Consider the following 18,229-nt stretch of genomic DNA (forward strand, 5'->3'; position numbering starts at 1 on the left):
CCTCTCGGGTTCAAGCAATTCTTCTTCTTCAGCCTCCTGAGTAGTTGGGATTACAGGCACATGCCACCATGCCTGGCTAATTTTTGTATTTTTAGTAGAGACAGGGTTTCACCATGTTGGCCAGGCTAGCTTTCGGTCTTTTACCAGTGCATATGATGTTGGCTCTGGGTTTTTAATATATGGCCTTTATTATGCTGAGATAATTTACTTCTGTTACTAGGGTTTTTTAAAGTTTTTTTTAAATCATGAAAGAGTGTTGAATTTTGTTAAATGCTTTTTCTGTATGAATTGAGATGATCATTTGGGGTTTTTTGTTTCATTTTGTTCAGGTAATGTGATTACATTAATTGATTTTCATAAGTTGAATTATCCTTGCATTCCAGTAATAAATATCACTTGGTCATGGTGTATAATTCTATCAATATGTTCAATTCAATTTGCTATTATTTTCTTGAGTTTTGTATCAGTATACATTCATACAGAATATTGGTCTATAGTTTTCTTATAATATGTTTGCCTTGTTTTGGTATCAAGATAGTGCTGGCTTCACAGAAGGAGTTAGGAAGTATTTCCTCCTCTTCAATTTTTTGGAAGAGTTTGAGAAGGATTGGTGTTCTTTAAATGTTTGGTAGAATTTGCCACCAAAATCATCTGATCTAGGGCTTTACTTTGTTGGGAAGTTTTTGATTACTGATTCAGTCTCCCCACTAGTTATAGGTTTATTCAGATTTTCTGTTTATTACTGATTCAGTCTTGGTAGGTTTTGTGTTTTTAGAAGTTTATCCATTTAATCTAGGTAAGTCACATTTTTGTTGTAGCGTTGAGGCATTTTTTTTTTTTTTACAAAAAATTGGTACTCATATACATAAAGTAATATGAACTTAAAATTCATACATTTACTTCATTTTTTAGCTTGACATTCTAGTAAATCTTTTGCTCCATTTATTTTTGGTTATGATAGCAGAAGATCTACCTGGATGATTTAAGAGCATCATTTGTCAATGAGCACCTCTTATTTTCTCTTTATTGGCAGTAGTGCTTACAGCTACTATTAATGCTGCTTTCCATTTTGTCGTTTCGGGTTCAAACATACCTCTGTAATAGCCACCACTGAAGGCAGATTTTGGTAGACTTTGAAAAATTTGTTTTGTTGTTGTTGTTGTTGTTGTTGTTTGTTTTGGGGTTTTTTTGTTTTGTTTTGTTTTGTTTTGTTTTGTTAGAGACGGAGTCTTGCTCTGTTGCCCAGGCTGGAGTGCGATAGCGCAATCTCGGCTCACCGCAACCTCTGCCTCCTGGGTTCAAGTGTTTCTCCTGCCTCAGACTCCCAAGTAGCTGGGACTACAGGCGTATGCCACCACACCCAGCTAATTTTTTGTATTTTTAGTACAGACGAGTTTTACTGTGTTAGCCAGGGTGGTCTCGATCTCCTGACCTCATGATACGCCCACCTTGGCCTCCCAAAGTGCTGGAATTACAGGCATGAGCCACCACGCCTGGCCGAAAAATTTGTTTTACTTGAGGTTCCACATGCCTTATATAAGGGTTGCAAAACATAACAGCCTGCAAATCCTGCAGCAGCAATGGTCAGTCCGACTGCTACCACTGTACTGGCCATGGCTGGGCTCCCCTACTGCACCAGGAGCATGGCTCATCCCAGCCCAGAGGTTGCGGCCAACAATGACACACCTTTACCAGAGAGTGACACAGGCACCGATGGCAAGCACAATACACTGGATTATAATTTTTTTAAACAAGAGGATTATTTGAAAAACAGTCTAGGTGCGGTGGCTCACGCCTGTAATCCCAGCACTTTGGGAGGCCAAGGCAGGCAGATCACTTGAGCCCAGGAATTCTAGACCAGCCTGGGCATGGTGGCATGTGCCTGTAGTCCCAGCTACTCAAGAGGATCACCTGAGCCCAGGGTAATCGAGGCTGCAGTGAGCTGTGCTCACACCACTGCACTCCAGCCTGGGTGACAGAGTGAGACCCTGTCTCAAAAAAGAAAGAAAAACACAGTTTATGTTGTTGTTGTATATCGAGTCTTAAATCAATGCTTCCTCTGGCAGAACAAATCAGAAGTTGGTTATACAGTATCAACTGGCCAAGTGTCTTTATTATTTACAGCATCTACATTAGTTTTTAAAACCATCACATTTTCAATATATAAATGGGCAAAAAGATGTTTAGATGGGTTAGTAAACAATGGAGAAATATTTTAATTTACTAGATACTAAGAGGTAGAAATTAAAATTTTTAAAATTTTATGCCTATATAACAAAAAATAGAAAATGTTGATAGTATGATAGATAGTGAAATTGACACTGGCATATTTACACATTTAAAAAGCCACACGTGGGTCGCTGGGGAACCCAGGCTGTCCTAGGAAGCCGAGTGGGAGTGGCACAGAGCTGCTGGAGATCCTGAGAACCTGAGTTTTGGCAAGCAGCCAGAATACTTAAAAAATGACCACACCAAACAAGGCACCTCCTGGTACTGACCCTGAGCAGTTGGAAAAGACTGGAACAGTACGGGAAATTGGGTCACAAGCTGTTTGGTCACTCTCATCTTGCAAACCAGGATTTGGAGTGGATCAGTTACGAGATGACAATCTAGAAACTTATTGGCAATCAGATGGCTCCCAGCCTCATTTAGTGAACATCCAATTCAGAAGAAAAACAACAGTTAAGACATTATATATTTATGCAGACTACAAATCTGATGAAAGCTATACTCCAAGCAAGATTTCAGCCAAAGTAGGAAATAATTTTCACAACCTTCAAGAAATTCGGCAACTTGAATTGGTGGAACCAAGTGGCTGGATTCATATTCCCTTAACTGATAATCATAGGAAGCCAACTTGGACGTTAATGATACAGATTGCTGTTCTAGCCAGTCATCAAAATGGAAAAGACACCCACCCATATGAGACAAATTAAAATATACACACTGGTAGAAGAGAGCGCCATTGGTAAATTTCCTAGATGTACAACTATAGATTTCATGATGTATTGTTCAATAAGGTGACTTTAAAATGATATGGAAGTCATTAAACGTATCTTTGTTTTATCCTGTCTTTAAATAGTATATCAGTTACCTTTATTGAAAAAAACATCAGTTATTTGCAACTTTATATATATTTAAAAATATTTTATTGTAATTTTGATAAATTTGGGTCATATTATCTTTAACATGTAATAAAGCTCACATATTTTACATTACTAAAAAAAAAAAAAAAAAGCCATATGTGTGGCTGGGCGTGGTGGCTCACACCTGTAAATCCTAGCACTCTGGGAGGCCGAGGCAGGCAGATCGCTTGAGCCCAGGAGTTCAAGAGCAGTGTGGGCAACATGGCAAGACCTCATCTCTGCCAAACAAAAGGGGACGTATGTTCCAATTTTTTGAGCTAATGATTCCTTTTTTGAGTAAATAATTCTTAAAACAAGTGCAGTAAACAAAAAGATGTGTATTTTAGTGTTACTAAATAGCAAATACATTTAAAGTAATTTGTGTCCAAAATTGGATAATGGGCCAGGTGTGGTGGCTCATTCCTGTAATCCCAGCCCTTTGGGAGGCCAAGGTGAGAGGATCACTTGAGCTCAGGAGTTCGAGACCAGCCCAGGTAACGCAGTGAGACCTCATCTCTACTAAAAATTAAAAAATGGCGGGATGTGGTGGTACATGCCTGTAGTCCTAGCTACTTGGGAGGCTGAGGTGGAAGGATTCCTTGAGCTTAGGAGTTCGAGACCAGCCTGGGCAACATAATATCTCTGCTAAAAATTAAAAAATAGCTGGATATGGTAGGGCATGTCTGTAGTCCCAGCTACTTGGGAGGCTGAGTTGGGAGGATCACTTGAACCCAGGAGGTCGAGGCTGCAGTGAGCCATGATTGTGCCAGTACACTTCAGCCTGGGTGATAAACGAGACCATGTCTCAAAAAAAAAAAAAAAAGGTTAATGGTAAGTTAAGTACAATACATATATTTGCTTCAGCCATTAAAAATTATTACAAGGCAGTGTAGAAAATGCTTATGATGACATATGAATAGAACAGAATGCAAGCTTATGCTTTGTTTACAATTAAATTATTCTTGGGCATAAAAACAGATATGTCTGAAGGAAACATATTTTTAAAAAGTAATTTTAGAGCCAGGCACGGTGGGTCATGCCTGTAATCCCAGCACTATGGGAGGCTGAGGCGGGCGGATCACCAGAGGTCGGGAGTTCAAGACCAGCCTGACCGACCTATGGAGAAACCCTGACTCTACTAAAAATACAAAATTAGCCGGGCATGGTGGCACATGCCTGTAGTCCCGGCTACTCAGGGGGCTGAGGCAGGAGAATCGCTTGAACCTGGGAGGCGGCGGTTGCGGTGAGCCGAGATCGCACCATTGCACTCCAGCCTGGGCAACAAGAGCAAAACCATCTCAAAAAAAAAAAAAAAAAAGTAATTTTAGGCTGGATGCAGTGGCTCATGCCTGTAATCCCAGCACTTTGGGAGGCCGAGGCAGGTGAATCACCTGAGGTCAGGAGTTCAAGACTAGCTTGGGCAACGTGGCAAAACTCCATCTTTATTAAAAATACTAAAATTAGCTGGGTATTGCGGCGCGTACCTGTAGTCTCAGTTACTTGGGAGGTCGCAGTGAGCCGAGATTGCATCACTGCACTCTAGTCTGGGTAACAGAGAGAGACTCTGACTCAAAAAAAATTTTTTTTAATTCATTGAGTTTGAGCTATTTTGCTTTTTTCTTTTCTTTTCTTTTCTTTTCTTTTCTTTTCTTTTCTTTTCTTTTCTTTTCTTTTCTTTTCTTTTCTTTCTTTCTTTCTTTCCTTCCTTCCTTCCTTCCTTCCTTCCTTCTTTCCTTTCTTTCTTTCTGTCTTTCTTTCTTTCTCTCTCTCTCTCTCTCTCTTTCTTTCTTTTCTTTCTTTCAGATGGAGTCTCGCTCTGTCTTCCAGGCTGGAGTGCAATGGCGCGATCTCAGCTCACTGCAGTCTCCACCTCCTGGGTTCAAGTGATTCTCCTGCCTCAGCCTCCCAAGTAGCTGAGATAACAGGCGTGTGCCACCACCACGCCTAGCTAATTTTTGTATTTTTAGTAGAGACGGGGTTTCACCATGTTGGTCAGGCTGGTCTTGAACTCCTGACCTTGTGATCTGTCCACATCAGCCTCCCAAAGTGCTGGGATTACAGGCATGAGCCACCATGCCCGGCTCTTTTTTTTTTCTTTTTCTTTTTTGAGACAGTTTTGCTCTTGTCGCTCAGGCTGGAGTGCAGTGGCACAACCTCAGCTCACTGCAACCTCTGCTTCCCTTCCCAGGTTTAAGCAATTTTCCTTGCCTCAGCCTCTCAAGTAGCTGGGATTACAGGCATGTGCCACCACGCTCAGCAGATTTGTATATTTTTAGTAGAGATGGGGTTTCACCATGTTGGCTGGGCTGGTACAGCCTCAGTTGGATATAATATTGAAAGTCTGAATTAGAGATCTCTTTTAACCCTTTCTGTAATGGACACTTAAAATGACTCTGATAATTATTATTGTTTTCTATTAATAACAGTGAAGTTTAAACAGGTGTTTAGACAGAGGCAAGGGTCTGGATTTGTTTGAACTGCTTTAGATCTTATGATACTGATTTTTGCTATGTGCTAATAAGTGGAGGGATAAAGTACTCCTGCATTTGACAATTTTTATAAGTTGTTACTTTCACTGGTCTTTGTGAACAGCTGGACACTGGTCAGTTCTATGCACTCTCCTCTCCTGTTTTTATTATTCTCACATCACAGTTATTTTTGTCATAATTATAGGGCTTTTTGAAGACCTGGGACATCATTTTTTGCATTTTCTAATTTGGAAAGAAATAAGTGAGCATTTGATGATTTGAATTTTCAAGAATTGCAAAGGAATAAGTGTTATTCACACTGTAAGAGGGTATAAATAGGCACAAAGTGGTACTTTGAATATAAAGCATGTTCACAGATTTAGCAATAGGATTTGTTATGTGGAAAGCCTGTAGTGGGAAATTTTAAAAGGAAAGGAAAGGGAAATAAGAAAGGTACCAACATACATTTAGAACCTATTATATGCTACATTTTATACATATAATTTCATTTAATCTTCATAAAAGCCATATGAAGGAAATACTGTATTAGCATTTCTATTTTACATGTGAGAAAAACTAAGACCTAGAGAGTTTAAATTATTCCCATAAGGTCATCTGACTAGAGAATAATCAAGTTGAAATAGGAACACAGAAGTGCCACATTTAAAAAAATTACATATAAACACACAAATGGAACCTTTTAACCAGTACTTAGCTGGAACATCGTATAGAATATATATTATAAATTACCTTACTTTGTCTCTTTATGCTTAGGCAGGTCATACGGATCCTGCCATATGATGTCAGCTGTAACCATTAGGCATAAAAATCTTGAGGTCATTCTTATAAACAGATTAAAATGTGTTGTTGCAAAAGTTGAATGGCTCTAGATTATTTTCTGAATTTGGATATGAATCATATAGTCCTTCCCCAAAAAGTTTACATTAATGTTTGTTTCTCCATTCATACATTTATGTATTTATGTATTTATTTATTTTTTGAGACGGGGTTTCGCTCTTGTCTCCCAGGCTGGAATGCGGTGGCGCGATCTCTGCTCACTGCAACCTCCACCTCTTGGGTTCTCCTGCCTCAGCCTCCTGAGTAGCTGGGATTATAGGCGCCTGCCACCACTCCTGGCTAATTTTTGTATTTTTAGTAGAGATAGGGTTTCACCATATTTCACCAGGCTGGTCTCAAACTCCTGACCTCAGGTGATCCACCTGCCTTGGCCTCCCAAAGTGCTGGGATTACACACATGAGCCACTGCACCTAGTCCCAGTCATACATTTATTTATGCAATAACTTTACTTTTCAAGGAAGCAATAAGCAAATATTTACTGAGTACTATGTTTCAGACACAATATTGAAGATACCAGTATTAAAAATAATTTAGCTCATTATTCCATGGAGTTTACATTCTAGTGTGGGGAAATGGAGAATAAGTTCAATCAGTGCAGTAGATTGTGTTGTGATAAAGATATATGGCATATGGTAAGATATTTCAGCAGTATAATTTAAGTTCAGGTGTGCAAATATGTAATTTTCTTAATTTTTAGAACTGACTTTACTTTTTTACTCTAAGCCTGTAGCTTAGAGAACTGGGGAAGGTACTTAGATGGTATATGGAATATAGTGGGGTATTTTTAGTTGTCAGAATGACTGAGGTTGCTACTGGCATTTAGCAACCTGTGCATACCAAGACTGCTAAACATCTTGCTATGCCCAGGACAGTACTGTCCTATGAAGAACTGGCCCACCTAAAATGCCAAGAGTGCCCCTGTTGAGAAGCACTGACTAACCTGGCTCATGGTAGACAATTTCATCTTGATCTTTTTAGGCAAAATTGACTATTATCCAGTAATTTCAAATTCAGGATTATTTAAACTATCCCAAACCTGGCTCAAATCTCTTAGATTCTGCCCATCTCCTCTGTGATACTAATTCTTATGACCTATGAATCTCACTACGTCATAGTCTGGCGTTGAAGAGTCATCTACTTTTCTAGCTAACTCCTGTGCTTTCCTCTAATCTCATTGGAAACGTAAAGGATCTCTCTATACTGTTCTTCGGCCTGTGGGATATTGAGAAAGATGGGTATTCTTGGGTTCTTCTGTGTTTACTCCATTTGCTGCTCCCTTGCTTGCTTTTTTTTTTTTAAGATACTTTGTTTTTTATTCAAAAATCATTATTTGAGATTATTGTCCCAAAGCCTAACTCACTACTTCTGAATGTTCCCAACTATATTAGTTTGCTACAGTTAGCAAAATACCACAAATTGGGCAGCTTAAGCAGAAATTTATTATCTCACAGTTATTAGAAGTCTGAAATTAAGGTGATAGCAGGGTTGGTTCCTCCTGGGGGCTGTACGGAAAAGATCTCTTCCATGTCTCTCTCCTTGGTTTGTAGATCGACATCTTCATGTTCATATGGTGGTGTTCTTGTATGTATACCTGTGTCCATATTTGCCTCTTTTATAAGGGTATCAGTCATGTTGGATTAGGAGACTACCCTAATCACTTCATTTTGATTACCTCTGTAGAGACCCTATCTTCAAATAAGGTCACATTCTAAGGTGTTAGGAGTTAAGACTTCAGCTTAAGTATTTGTGGGGGATACAGTTCAACCCATAAAAGCAACTAATTTTTTTAAATTTTTTTCTAATTTAAAAAGTACAGAAAAAACTAATCAAAATAAAATAAAAATATCCCAATACAACATTTAAAAAATTATATAAAGTAAAAGGAGAGAAAAGATAGCCAGCTGTGGTGGCTCATGCCTGTAATCCCAGCACTTTGGGAGGCCCAGGCGGGCAGATCACTTGAGGTCAGAAGTTCGAGACCAGCCTGGCCAACATGGCGAAACCCTGTCTCTACTAAAAAAAAAAAAAAAAAAAAAAATCGCTGGGCATGGTGGTGCACACCTGTAATCCCAGCTGTTCAGGAGGCTGAAGCACCAGAATCGCTTGAACCTGGGAGGAAGAGGTTGCAGTGAGCTGAAATGGTGCCACTGCACTCCAGCCTGGGCGACACAGCAAGACTGTGTCTAAAAATAAAAAAGAAAAAGGCCCTACTTCCATTCCAATCTCATCCTCCAACTTGACTATATTTTTCTTTTCCATGTCAATCGGTACATACAGAACTATTTCATTCTTTTTATGGGAACGGGATTCCATTTTATGGGTATACTGCAGTTTAATTAGCTGTTACACTACTGATGAACACTTGGGTTGTTTACAACTTTTATTATAAACAATATGGAGATAATTCTTGTGTAGATCTCTTTGCACATGTGGATGTTTTCAGTAGTGTAAAATTTTAAAACTGTGTGCTGAGTCATACTGAATAAACACTTCCAATTTTAAAAGATATTGTCAAATTAACCTACCAGCGTATATTACTACCAGCAGAATCTAAGAGCTATACCCTCACCACCGTTAGATATTATCAGTGTTTAAAAAAAAAATCTTTGCTAGTCTCATAGTAAAAACATACTATAAAACTCATTGTTTTATTTTGTCATGTGTGGTATTTACTATATCTGTTGGCCATTTTATTTATTTTTTCTGTGTATTTACCAATGTGAGTTCTTTGCCTTATTTCCTTGGAGGTATTTGTTGGTTATTGAAGCTCATGTTTTTATCATAAATTAATTTTTTTGTAATAATTGTAGTAGCTCATTAAGGTTTCCCAAATCCATTCTTATTCTCTTCCTTTTTTTTCTCCCTACACTGTGCCCATACAGATCTGATCATGTCTTTCTCTTTGATTAAAATGCTTAAGTGGGGGCTGGGCACGGTAGTTCACATCTGTAATCCCAGCACTTTGGGAGGCTGAGCCGGGCAGATCACCTGAGGTCAGGAGTTCAAGACCAGCCTGACCAACCTGGTGAAACCCCATCTCTACTAAAAATACAAAAATTAGCTGGGCATGGTGGCACACACCTGTAATCCCAGCTACTTGGGAGGCTGAGGCAGGAGAATGGCTTGAACCCTAGAGGCGGAGGTTGCAATGAGCTGAGATCACACCATTGCACTCCAGCCTGGGCGACAGAGCAAGACTCTAGCTCAAAGAAAAAAAAATGCTTAAGGGCTTTCCCATTGCTCTATTAAAAAGGTCAAAACAGATCCTACAGAGCCTTTGCTTGGTCTGGCCTCAGCATATTCCATGCATCCCTTAACTCTTGGGGCCTCAAGCCATATTAACTTTTTTTAGTTATTTGGTGGGTCCATGCTTCTTCCCCTAATAGGAACTGTGTACATACTATTTCCTCTACTATTACTGTCTCTTCTTGGCACCTCTTTGTTCACAGAAAACTCTTACCCATCCTTCAGATTTGATGTCTTGTCATTTCCTAAATCTTCCCTGACCTTGCCAATCTAGGCTAGAGCCTAGATTACATGATCTTATTTCACCATTTACCACTTTTGAAACACGTGATTTATATTCACTTGTATGGTTTTTCTTTTTCTTTCTTTCTTTTTTTTTTTTTTTTTTGAGACAGGGTTTTGCTGTGTTACCCAGACAGGAGTGCAGTGGCCATTCACAGGTGCAGTCATAGTGTAGTGTGTCTTCAAACTCCTGGCTTCAAGCCATCTTCCTGCCTCAGCCTCCCATGTAGCTGGGACAATAGGTGTACTCCTCTATGCCCAGCCTTGTGTTATTATTTGATTTTAGGTTATAACCTGAAACCCTTGCACTAAATTGCATTGCATGAAGGCAAGGACCATGTCCGTTTTGTTTTCTGCCACATCCCCATTGGGTAGCTTGGTGCCCAGTACATAGTAAGAGTTCATATATTTGTGGAATAAATGAGTGAATGATGGATTCTTGGTTTTGTCTCTTTATTAGAAAGGTTATTGAAGGATTTTAAGAAATTTAACATTATTAGATTTATTTTTTAGAAAGTTCAGTCTTTGTTTGGAAGATTAATTGGAAAGGCAGATGTGAAGATTAGGAGAACAGTTAGGTTATCATCATGATCGTTTAGTCCTCAGATAATAACAGCCTGAACAGAGGCAGCAATGTTAGAGATAGGAGAAGATGTGATTTTGGAAGAACAATTTCAGAGGAAAACTAACAGGACTTAATGACTGACTGGATGTGGTCATGGCGAGGGAGAAGGAAAAGTCAAGACTCAAAATTTAAATGAAATATGTAATTTAGTATGAAGTAGTATTACAGAGTAGTTAACTATAGAGCCATTGCAGTCATACAGATTAATCATGTAATTTACTAGCTGTATGACCCTGGTAATTTTACTTAATGTCTTAGTCCATTCGGGCTGCTATAACAAAATACCATAGACTAGATGGCTTATAAATAACAGAGATTTGTTACAGTCTGGAGCCTGGTAAGTCCAAGATCAAGGCAACGGTAGATTTGGTATCTGGCGAGGGCCTGCTTACTTATAGACAGCTGTGTTCTCACTCTAACTTCACAGGGCAGAAGGGTGAGGAGTCTCCCTCAGGCTTCTTTTATAGGGCACTAATCCCATATGCCCCACTACCTAATACCATCTCTTTTGGGGTTAAGATTTCAACATAGGAGTTTTGGAACATTCATCTGTTTACCTAACTGCTAATTGTAAATGAGTGTCTTCATGGAATTTTTGAGGTTAAATGTAACACATGTAAAGTGCCTAGTAGTCATATAGTTTGCTGTGAACTTGAGGAAGTCATTTAACCATCTAAACTCAGTTTCTTCTGATAGAAAATAAGGATAATATGTATACCCTTTGTTCTCCCTGTATCACAGGGATATCTCCCTATATCACATTTAAGAATGTCAAGCCCTATAAAAATTGTAAACTGATAACAGTCATAGTAACTAGATATTAATTATACATAGAAGGATGGGAGATATCGAGCTTAACTTAGACTTTAATATGACCCCTCATCTCTTGGTTCAACTTTGTAAAGTATAGGATGCTTCTTGGCTGTAAAAACTGAAGAAGTAGAATTTATCCTACTGGGAACAGGCTTTTGCCACTGTAAGGCTCTATGTGGTAAATGACTGATGAGTTCTCAAGAAAATAAATCTGGCCGGGTGTGGTGGCTCACGCCTGTAATCCCAGCACTTTGGGAGGCCGAGGTGGGTGGATCACTTGAGTTCAGGAGTTTGAGACTAGCCTGGCCAACATGGTGAAACCCCGTCTCTTCTAATAATACAAAAAAAAATTAGCCAGGCGTGGTGGCTTACACCTGAAGTCCCAGCTACTCAGGAGGCTCAGGCAGAAGAATCACTTGAACCCAGGAGGTGGAGGTTGCAGCAGTGAACCAAGATCGCACCACTGCACTCCAGCCTGGGCCACAGAGTCAAATTGTGTCTCAAAAAAAAAAAAAAAAAAAGAAAAGAAATCTTAACAGGAACAAAGGAGATTGTTGTTGCCTGGTGTAGAGGGGAGAAGGAAGTGAGATTACCAGGAACCAAGCCCAGAAGGTGGAAATTGGCATGGCAGATTTTGATTGCCTGCTGTGATTTCCTGTAGCTAAAGCAGTGCGTTTGTTTATGATTGAGTTGTATATATTGACCCTTGGCCTTCATAGCAAAAACAGTGAAAACAGCTGGTATAGTTATTATTCCACATATAAGGATAGTAACAAACAGAAGTTAAAACACAGAAATTCCAATCTTTGTTTATTTCATCCTGCTATAATTCCTTTCCAAACGGAAATAGCACATGTAACTATCTTTCAACACCCATGTTAGGTGATTGTGTGCATAGAAATCTTGCCTAGGGGTAATTCAGGTGGTTTTTTCCCCACTGCTGTATATTTGCCACGTGATCTTAGTTAAGATTTTTATTTTCAGCCAATGTTTCCCATTTCTTTATTGTTGACAGACTTGTAATCTCACTCTTGCTTTTGAATTACCCAACTTCCTGAACTACATTTTCTTTGAAACTTTAGTATTGTAGTTTAATAAGGTTCACTGACAATCAGTGTTTGTCAATATTGGTTCACTCTCTTTGCATGGCAATCCCAAGTAAATTTTGTGTGTTCTTCCCCCCCCCCCCCCCACAGGTTTTCTGTGCTTCCTGCTGTAGCCTGAAATGTAAACTGTTATACATGGACAGAAAGGAAGCTAGAGTGTGTGTAATCTGCCATTCAGTGCTAATGAATGGTAAGTATTAAAACAGGTTGATTTCATAGTTATTGAGACAAAACAAGGGAATTACGATGAGAAGACTTTTTTCCCCCTGCCTTTCTTTACAAGTTGCTCACCTTCTCAAATGTCATAACTTTAACTGAAAATATTTAGCTAAATTTCCATGTTTTGAAAGTATCTTAGCATTTCAGAATTCCTGTGCCTAATTTAATGAATAAATGCTAAAGCCAGGTAAGTTTTGCAGGAATAATGGAAGTTCTTTGGAAATCTGGTGCGAGGTAGTTATTTGTGTTCCTATAAAATAACCAGAGTGAGGTGGGAATGGGGAGCTTTTGATCACCAGATGATAAGATGTTAAAACTGGGCTGAGATTTTCCTTTTAAGAGAAGCCATCTCTTTCTAAGGAACAACTTAATAACTTAGCATGTGTTCTTATCAACACCTTGTTTCATTCATCTTGTTGAAGATAACTATTTTAGCATCTAGGACCAAGTAGAAAATTGCATTTTTAAAGCCCATTTATCTCTTTAATGCTACTTAGATTTGCTATGAGAATAATGGTTTAGAATCTAGTTGTTACGTGGTAAAAAGAATATGGCCGGGGAAAGTAAATAAAACTTACCCAGTGTTCATCTTTTGCTGGACTGGAAATGATTTTAAGGGCATATTAGTTAAAAACCCTGAGTATTCTTGTAAAAAGATACACTAAAATTGTTCAGGTTATAGTATTTTCTCTTTGAATGCATCTTTGTACAGTTACTGGAACAATTACTAATAGACATAAAATGTTGAACTTGAACACCAGTGCTACCTGTGCCAGGATAGTGTGCCTCCTGGAGGCTGGAACTTATCTGCTCTGAGACCCCTCCTGCTCTGTCCGTCTGCATTGCTGATAGTGATGTTTTCTTGTTGCTGGCTTATTAACCTGTTGCATGACAGTTAATCTGATCTGTTCTAATTTCCTATGATCCACCCAGTTTCCTCCCATTTCTGAATTCTTACAATTTTGACCAAATATGAATCATTCTCTCCACTCTTAAGGGTTACTTTTTAAATAGTGGTTATTTCACTTGGTTGCTCAATTGATGATTTTTATTCTGCTGCTTTCATTTTCGGGCACATATTCACAGATAAGAGCATGCTGCTTAATTATAGTACCTAATACCTCTTTTATTTGATGAGATCTTCCAACTTGATAGCTAATTTTTTTAACTTGGCATAGCTAAAGATGAAGGAAATGGCAGAGGATTCACATGGAATACTTACTTTTTATTAAGCCAAGGAGGCCCTTAACAGGGGATCCTAAGGTAATCCACTTTTCCTGGTTTTTCCAGTGTCTTTCCTCTCGCATGGCTTAGCCCGGTCTTTTTCTTAATATTTAATTTGATGCTTTTCGGTGTTCCCTATCCCTTTTTCCCTTTCTCCTTTTCTCTTCCTCCCCTCTTTCTGCCAGTGCTTTCAAAGGAACATAGCTTTTGTTACTAGCCTTGTCTTGCAGTTTGGAGGCAATAAATATTCAAAATCCTATGGATCATTCTTTGATGTTGAAAGAGATTTTTGAAAGGATGCTTAAAAAGAGGGTGGCTTCTATTTCTGGGCATGTGGTATTACCTGAACCTAGAAGATAAAATTTGGTATCTTTCATTTCTGTAGCACCTTTCATCCTATTTGCTTTAAAGGCGATAGGTGATGTGTCAGTATTTAGTGAAATTATAGGGTACACAGAATCTTAATGTATTTGTGATCATTTATATTGGTTGATCACACTTACATGATATTGGCACATTTTCATGTTCAAATAGGTCCTGTGCTTTTGAGACACACCAAAGATGTGAAATGGTTGTTACTGATGGATAGTTTTATACAGGGTGATGATTACATAAAAGCAGAATTCAGAAAAAGATTGAGATGTGTCCTCCTGAGCTTTAGGCTTTAGAAATTTTTAATGAGATTTTATTTTAACTAACAAGAGCCTTAAAAGTTTAGAAATGAAACTTAAAATTTTACAGTAGAGTTATTCTATTTTAGCCCCTGATTTTGCTTTTTGATAGAACTTTATAAAATGCATTAAATATTAAATGAAAAAATGTCTAAATGCTATCCAAGTTTCAAATTCTTAAAGTTTGATGTTGTTTGACTCCCTCTTAAGGAAATGTTTGGTCTCCTATAAAGAAACCAGGCTCCAACCTTTAACTCAGATTGATCTGCTATCAGTCTATCAGAAGTATCCTATAATTCTTTTTTATTTTTAATTTTTTTGAGATGGAGTCTTGCTCTGTTGCCCAGGCTGGAGTGCAGTGGTGTGACTTGGCTCACTGCAAGCTCCACCTCCCGGGTTCATGCCATTCTCCTGCCTCAGCCTCCCAAGTAGCTGGGACTACAGGTGCCTGCCACCACACCTGGCTAATTTTTTGTATTTTTAGTAGAGACGGGGTTTCACCACGTTAGCCAGGATGGTCTTGATTTCCTGACCTCGTGATCCACCCGCCTCGGCCTCCCAAAGTGCCGGGATTAGAAGCATGAGCCACCACTCCCGGTCTAATTCTTTAAAAAAAAAAAAAAAAAAAAAAAAAAAAATCATGTTACTCTTATTTGCTCCAACCAAATAGTTTACTTGGCTAAATGGTCTCCTTTATTACATAAAATCACCTATCTCTTTAATACCTTCACTAGGTGGAAGAGAGACATACTATGAGTATTAATTAGGAGAAGCTGCATTATTTATCCAATATTGTGGAGGTCTTGATGTCCATATTTTGCAATCCATTCACATTGATTGTGTCTGTATTTGCTTTAGCTCAAGCCTGGGAGAACATGATGAGTGCCTCAAGCCAGAGCCCTAACCCTAACAATCCTGCTGAATACTGTTCTACTATCCCTCCCTTGCAGCAAGCTCAGGCCTCAGGAGCTCTGAGCTCTCCACCTCCCACTGTGATGGTACCTGTGGGAGTTTTAAAGCACCCTGGAGCAGAAGGTAGGGGATCATGTGCTATTCTCTCTCTTTTTCCTCACGAAGTTCCTCTGAAAAGGTGCTGATATGACTTTACAGCACAAGTCTTAAAAAACACTGCAGATAAGTCTCTTTGGGTGGTTATTAAAATGGAACAACAAGGTGAGAAATGTGTCAAGACTATTTCTGGGCAAGTAGAGAATAATATTTGTGTTGCTTGGTATTTTAGAGGCACCTCAGAATATATGTCAGTCTCCTCTCCAACTTAAGAATGGAGTAATTACACTGCTTGTCCTTAAAAAGAGGTGCAGAATTTGAAGTCAATCTGTAAATTCCTAGCCTACCTCATGCCTGTCTTAATGTTCTTTGTAGGAGTTTAGTAAGTGATAAAAATGAGAGTTCTTCTTTCCGACCAGCCCATTCAAGTATTGCTTTTTGGAGTATACATTGCCATTTTCTCTTTTCATTTTTAATCTGTCCATATAAAAATATGAACATTTTTGTGTTAGGGACATAGACTTTAAATCTAGAACTTTAATTCTGATTATATCATATGATAGGTAGAAAATTACAGGCTCAACTTACATTGGTTTATTATATCTTTATGATGATAATATTGTCAGATGAAAGGCACTGTGTAAGTGCAGGGGATTATGAATAGTAAAAATAACATTTATTTCCTTAAAATGATCTTATCAAGTTTCCCTTGGTAATTAAAATCAGTCTTCCTTCATTAATTTTATCTTTTCATCTATTAATATTCCCTTCCCCTTGCTAAATAACCCACCTTTCCTTTTGAAGATCATAGACTTCTATTGACATTATCATACTCTTCCCCATTTTTTCTCTTTTCAGATCATCCCTTAGTCATACTCCTTGTATTTTTATGAATTTAGGCTTTCTTAAAATCTTTATTCTCTTCATTTGTTGTTTTTGTTGTTCTTCCCTAGTCTCTGTGTGTTTTGGCTGTTTGAATTGATTTCTAAAACTGGACTTAAAGGGATCATTTCATCAGACTCAGTTTTCCAGCTTTTTCCCTGTCTTTTTACTAAAACACAAATTACTTTTGCACTGCCAGATCAGTCTTTTTCTTCTTCAGTTACACTTCAGGCAAAGATCTGGTCAGTTTGCTTCCCAATTCTTACATATCTGTGCCAGCTCTTCTGTTATAAATGAATTATTCTTTAACATTCTTCAGGGCATCTTTTGCCCTTTGAAAGTACCATATCACTTTACCAGATGTTTAATTTCTTTGGAAACCTCATAACTTTAGAAAATGTGAATGTCTATTGCTTTTTTCACCATGCTATTAATTTATTTCCGAGGCCCTTGAACACTTTCCTTAGTTTCTCTGTCAGTGATACGGGACAGAGTATGTGACATAATCATAGATGTATTTAAGAACTCTTAATATTTCAAAGCAAAGTATTTTACTCTTTGCATATAAGTTAAACAAGTAAAGAATATATTTAAATTTGTATTTTTAATTCATTTATAACCACTTTTATATACAGTTACATTTCTGATGTTTCTGATTGTAAGTTGCCAAGTAATGATTTCTTTGTACATCTGGAATTGGTGACCTTCTCTTCTTTGATGTTAGAAAACCTTCCAATGCCACATTGATGCCTGTTTTATTTTTCTGGCCCCTCAAGTGGCTCAGCCCAGAGAGCAGAGGCGAGTTTGGTTTGCTGATGGGATCTTGCCCAATGGAGAAGTTGCTGATGCAGCCAAATTAACAATGAATGGAACTTCCTCTGCAGGAACCCTGGCTGTGTCACACGACCCAGTCAAGCCAGTAACTACCAGTCCTCTACCAGCAGAGGTAAGAAAACAAAACAGCAACTAAAATTGCATAGCTACTTTACTCAGCATTGTGCTGCCTCTGTTGAATTACTTTTGTGTGGAACTCTGTAGGTTTTGGATACAACTTAGTGTATACGTGCACATATATGGATAAAGTAAATGTGGCAAAAATCAGCTGCTGTTCTTTGCTGTATATTTAGAAGTTTTTTCAGGAGAAAGGTTCTTAATGAAGATTGTTCTCAGATGAGCTCAGGTGCTCCACTTTAGCTAGCAGTCGGGCTGTGGGGAATTCTGTCCCCTTGCTACATTGGTTTTTAAAGCATGTTCCCCAGGTTCCATGGCAGCCTCTCAGGAGTGCTATGGTGAGGAAGAGCAGGTAACATGAAAGGGCCTGAGGAGCTGAGTTTAAAACCCTGGCTTATCAACATCCCCTACCAGAGTGGTACACTTGTTACACTTGTTGAACCTACACTGACACATCGTAGCCAACCCAAGTCCACATTTTACATTAGGATTGGATACTTTTTTTTCTTTTTTTGAGATAGAGTCTCTGTTGCCCGGGCTGCAGTACAGTGGCGTGATCTTGGCTCACTGCAACCTCTACCTCCCAGGTTCAAGCAATTCTCCTGCCTCAGCCTCCAAAGTAGGTGGGATTACAGGCGCCTGCCATCATGCCAGGCTAATTTTTGTATTTTTAGTAGAGACAGGGTTTCACCATGTTGCCCAGGCTGCGTCTCGAACTCCTGACCTCAAGTGATCCACCCCCTCAGCCTC

General features: G+C 38.7%; 1 protein-coding gene and 2 pseudogenes across 5 annotated transcripts in view; 2 read left to right on the top strand and 1 right to left on the bottom strand.

The window, feature by feature from the left end:
* Positions 1 to 18,229, top strand: part of ZFYVE9 (zinc finger FYVE-type containing 9) — a 204,546-nt gene that overhangs the window by 109,070 nt on the left and 77,247 nt on the right. For 3 of the 5 annotated variants that reach the window (NM_004799.4, XM_047434682.1, XM_011542437.3), the window contains exons 5-7: positions 12,615 to 12,714; positions 15,497 to 15,673; positions 17,305 to 17,474. In NM_004799.4, the coding sequence (NP_004790.2) occupies positions 12,615 to 12,714; positions 15,497 to 15,673; positions 17,305 to 17,474 (447 nt within the window). The remainder of the gene's footprint in view (positions 1 to 12,614; positions 12,715 to 15,496; positions 15,674 to 17,304; positions 17,475 to 18,229) is intronic. The other 2 variants (NM_007324.5, XM_047434674.1) reach the window with 1 other exon arrangement.
* On the bottom strand, positions 796 to 1,725 carry DNAJC19P7 (DnaJ heat shock protein family (Hsp40) member C19 pseudogene 7; annotated as a pseudogene).
* Positions 2,409 to 3,225, top strand: ANAPC10P1 (anaphase promoting complex subunit 10 pseudogene 1; annotated as a pseudogene).

The sequence above is a fragment of the Homo sapiens genome, chromosome 1 (assembly GCF_000001405.40).
Source record: "Homo sapiens chromosome 1, GRCh38.p14 Primary Assembly".
In the NCBI taxonomy this organism is placed as follows: Eukaryota; Metazoa; Chordata; class Mammalia; order Primates; family Hominidae; genus Homo; species Homo sapiens.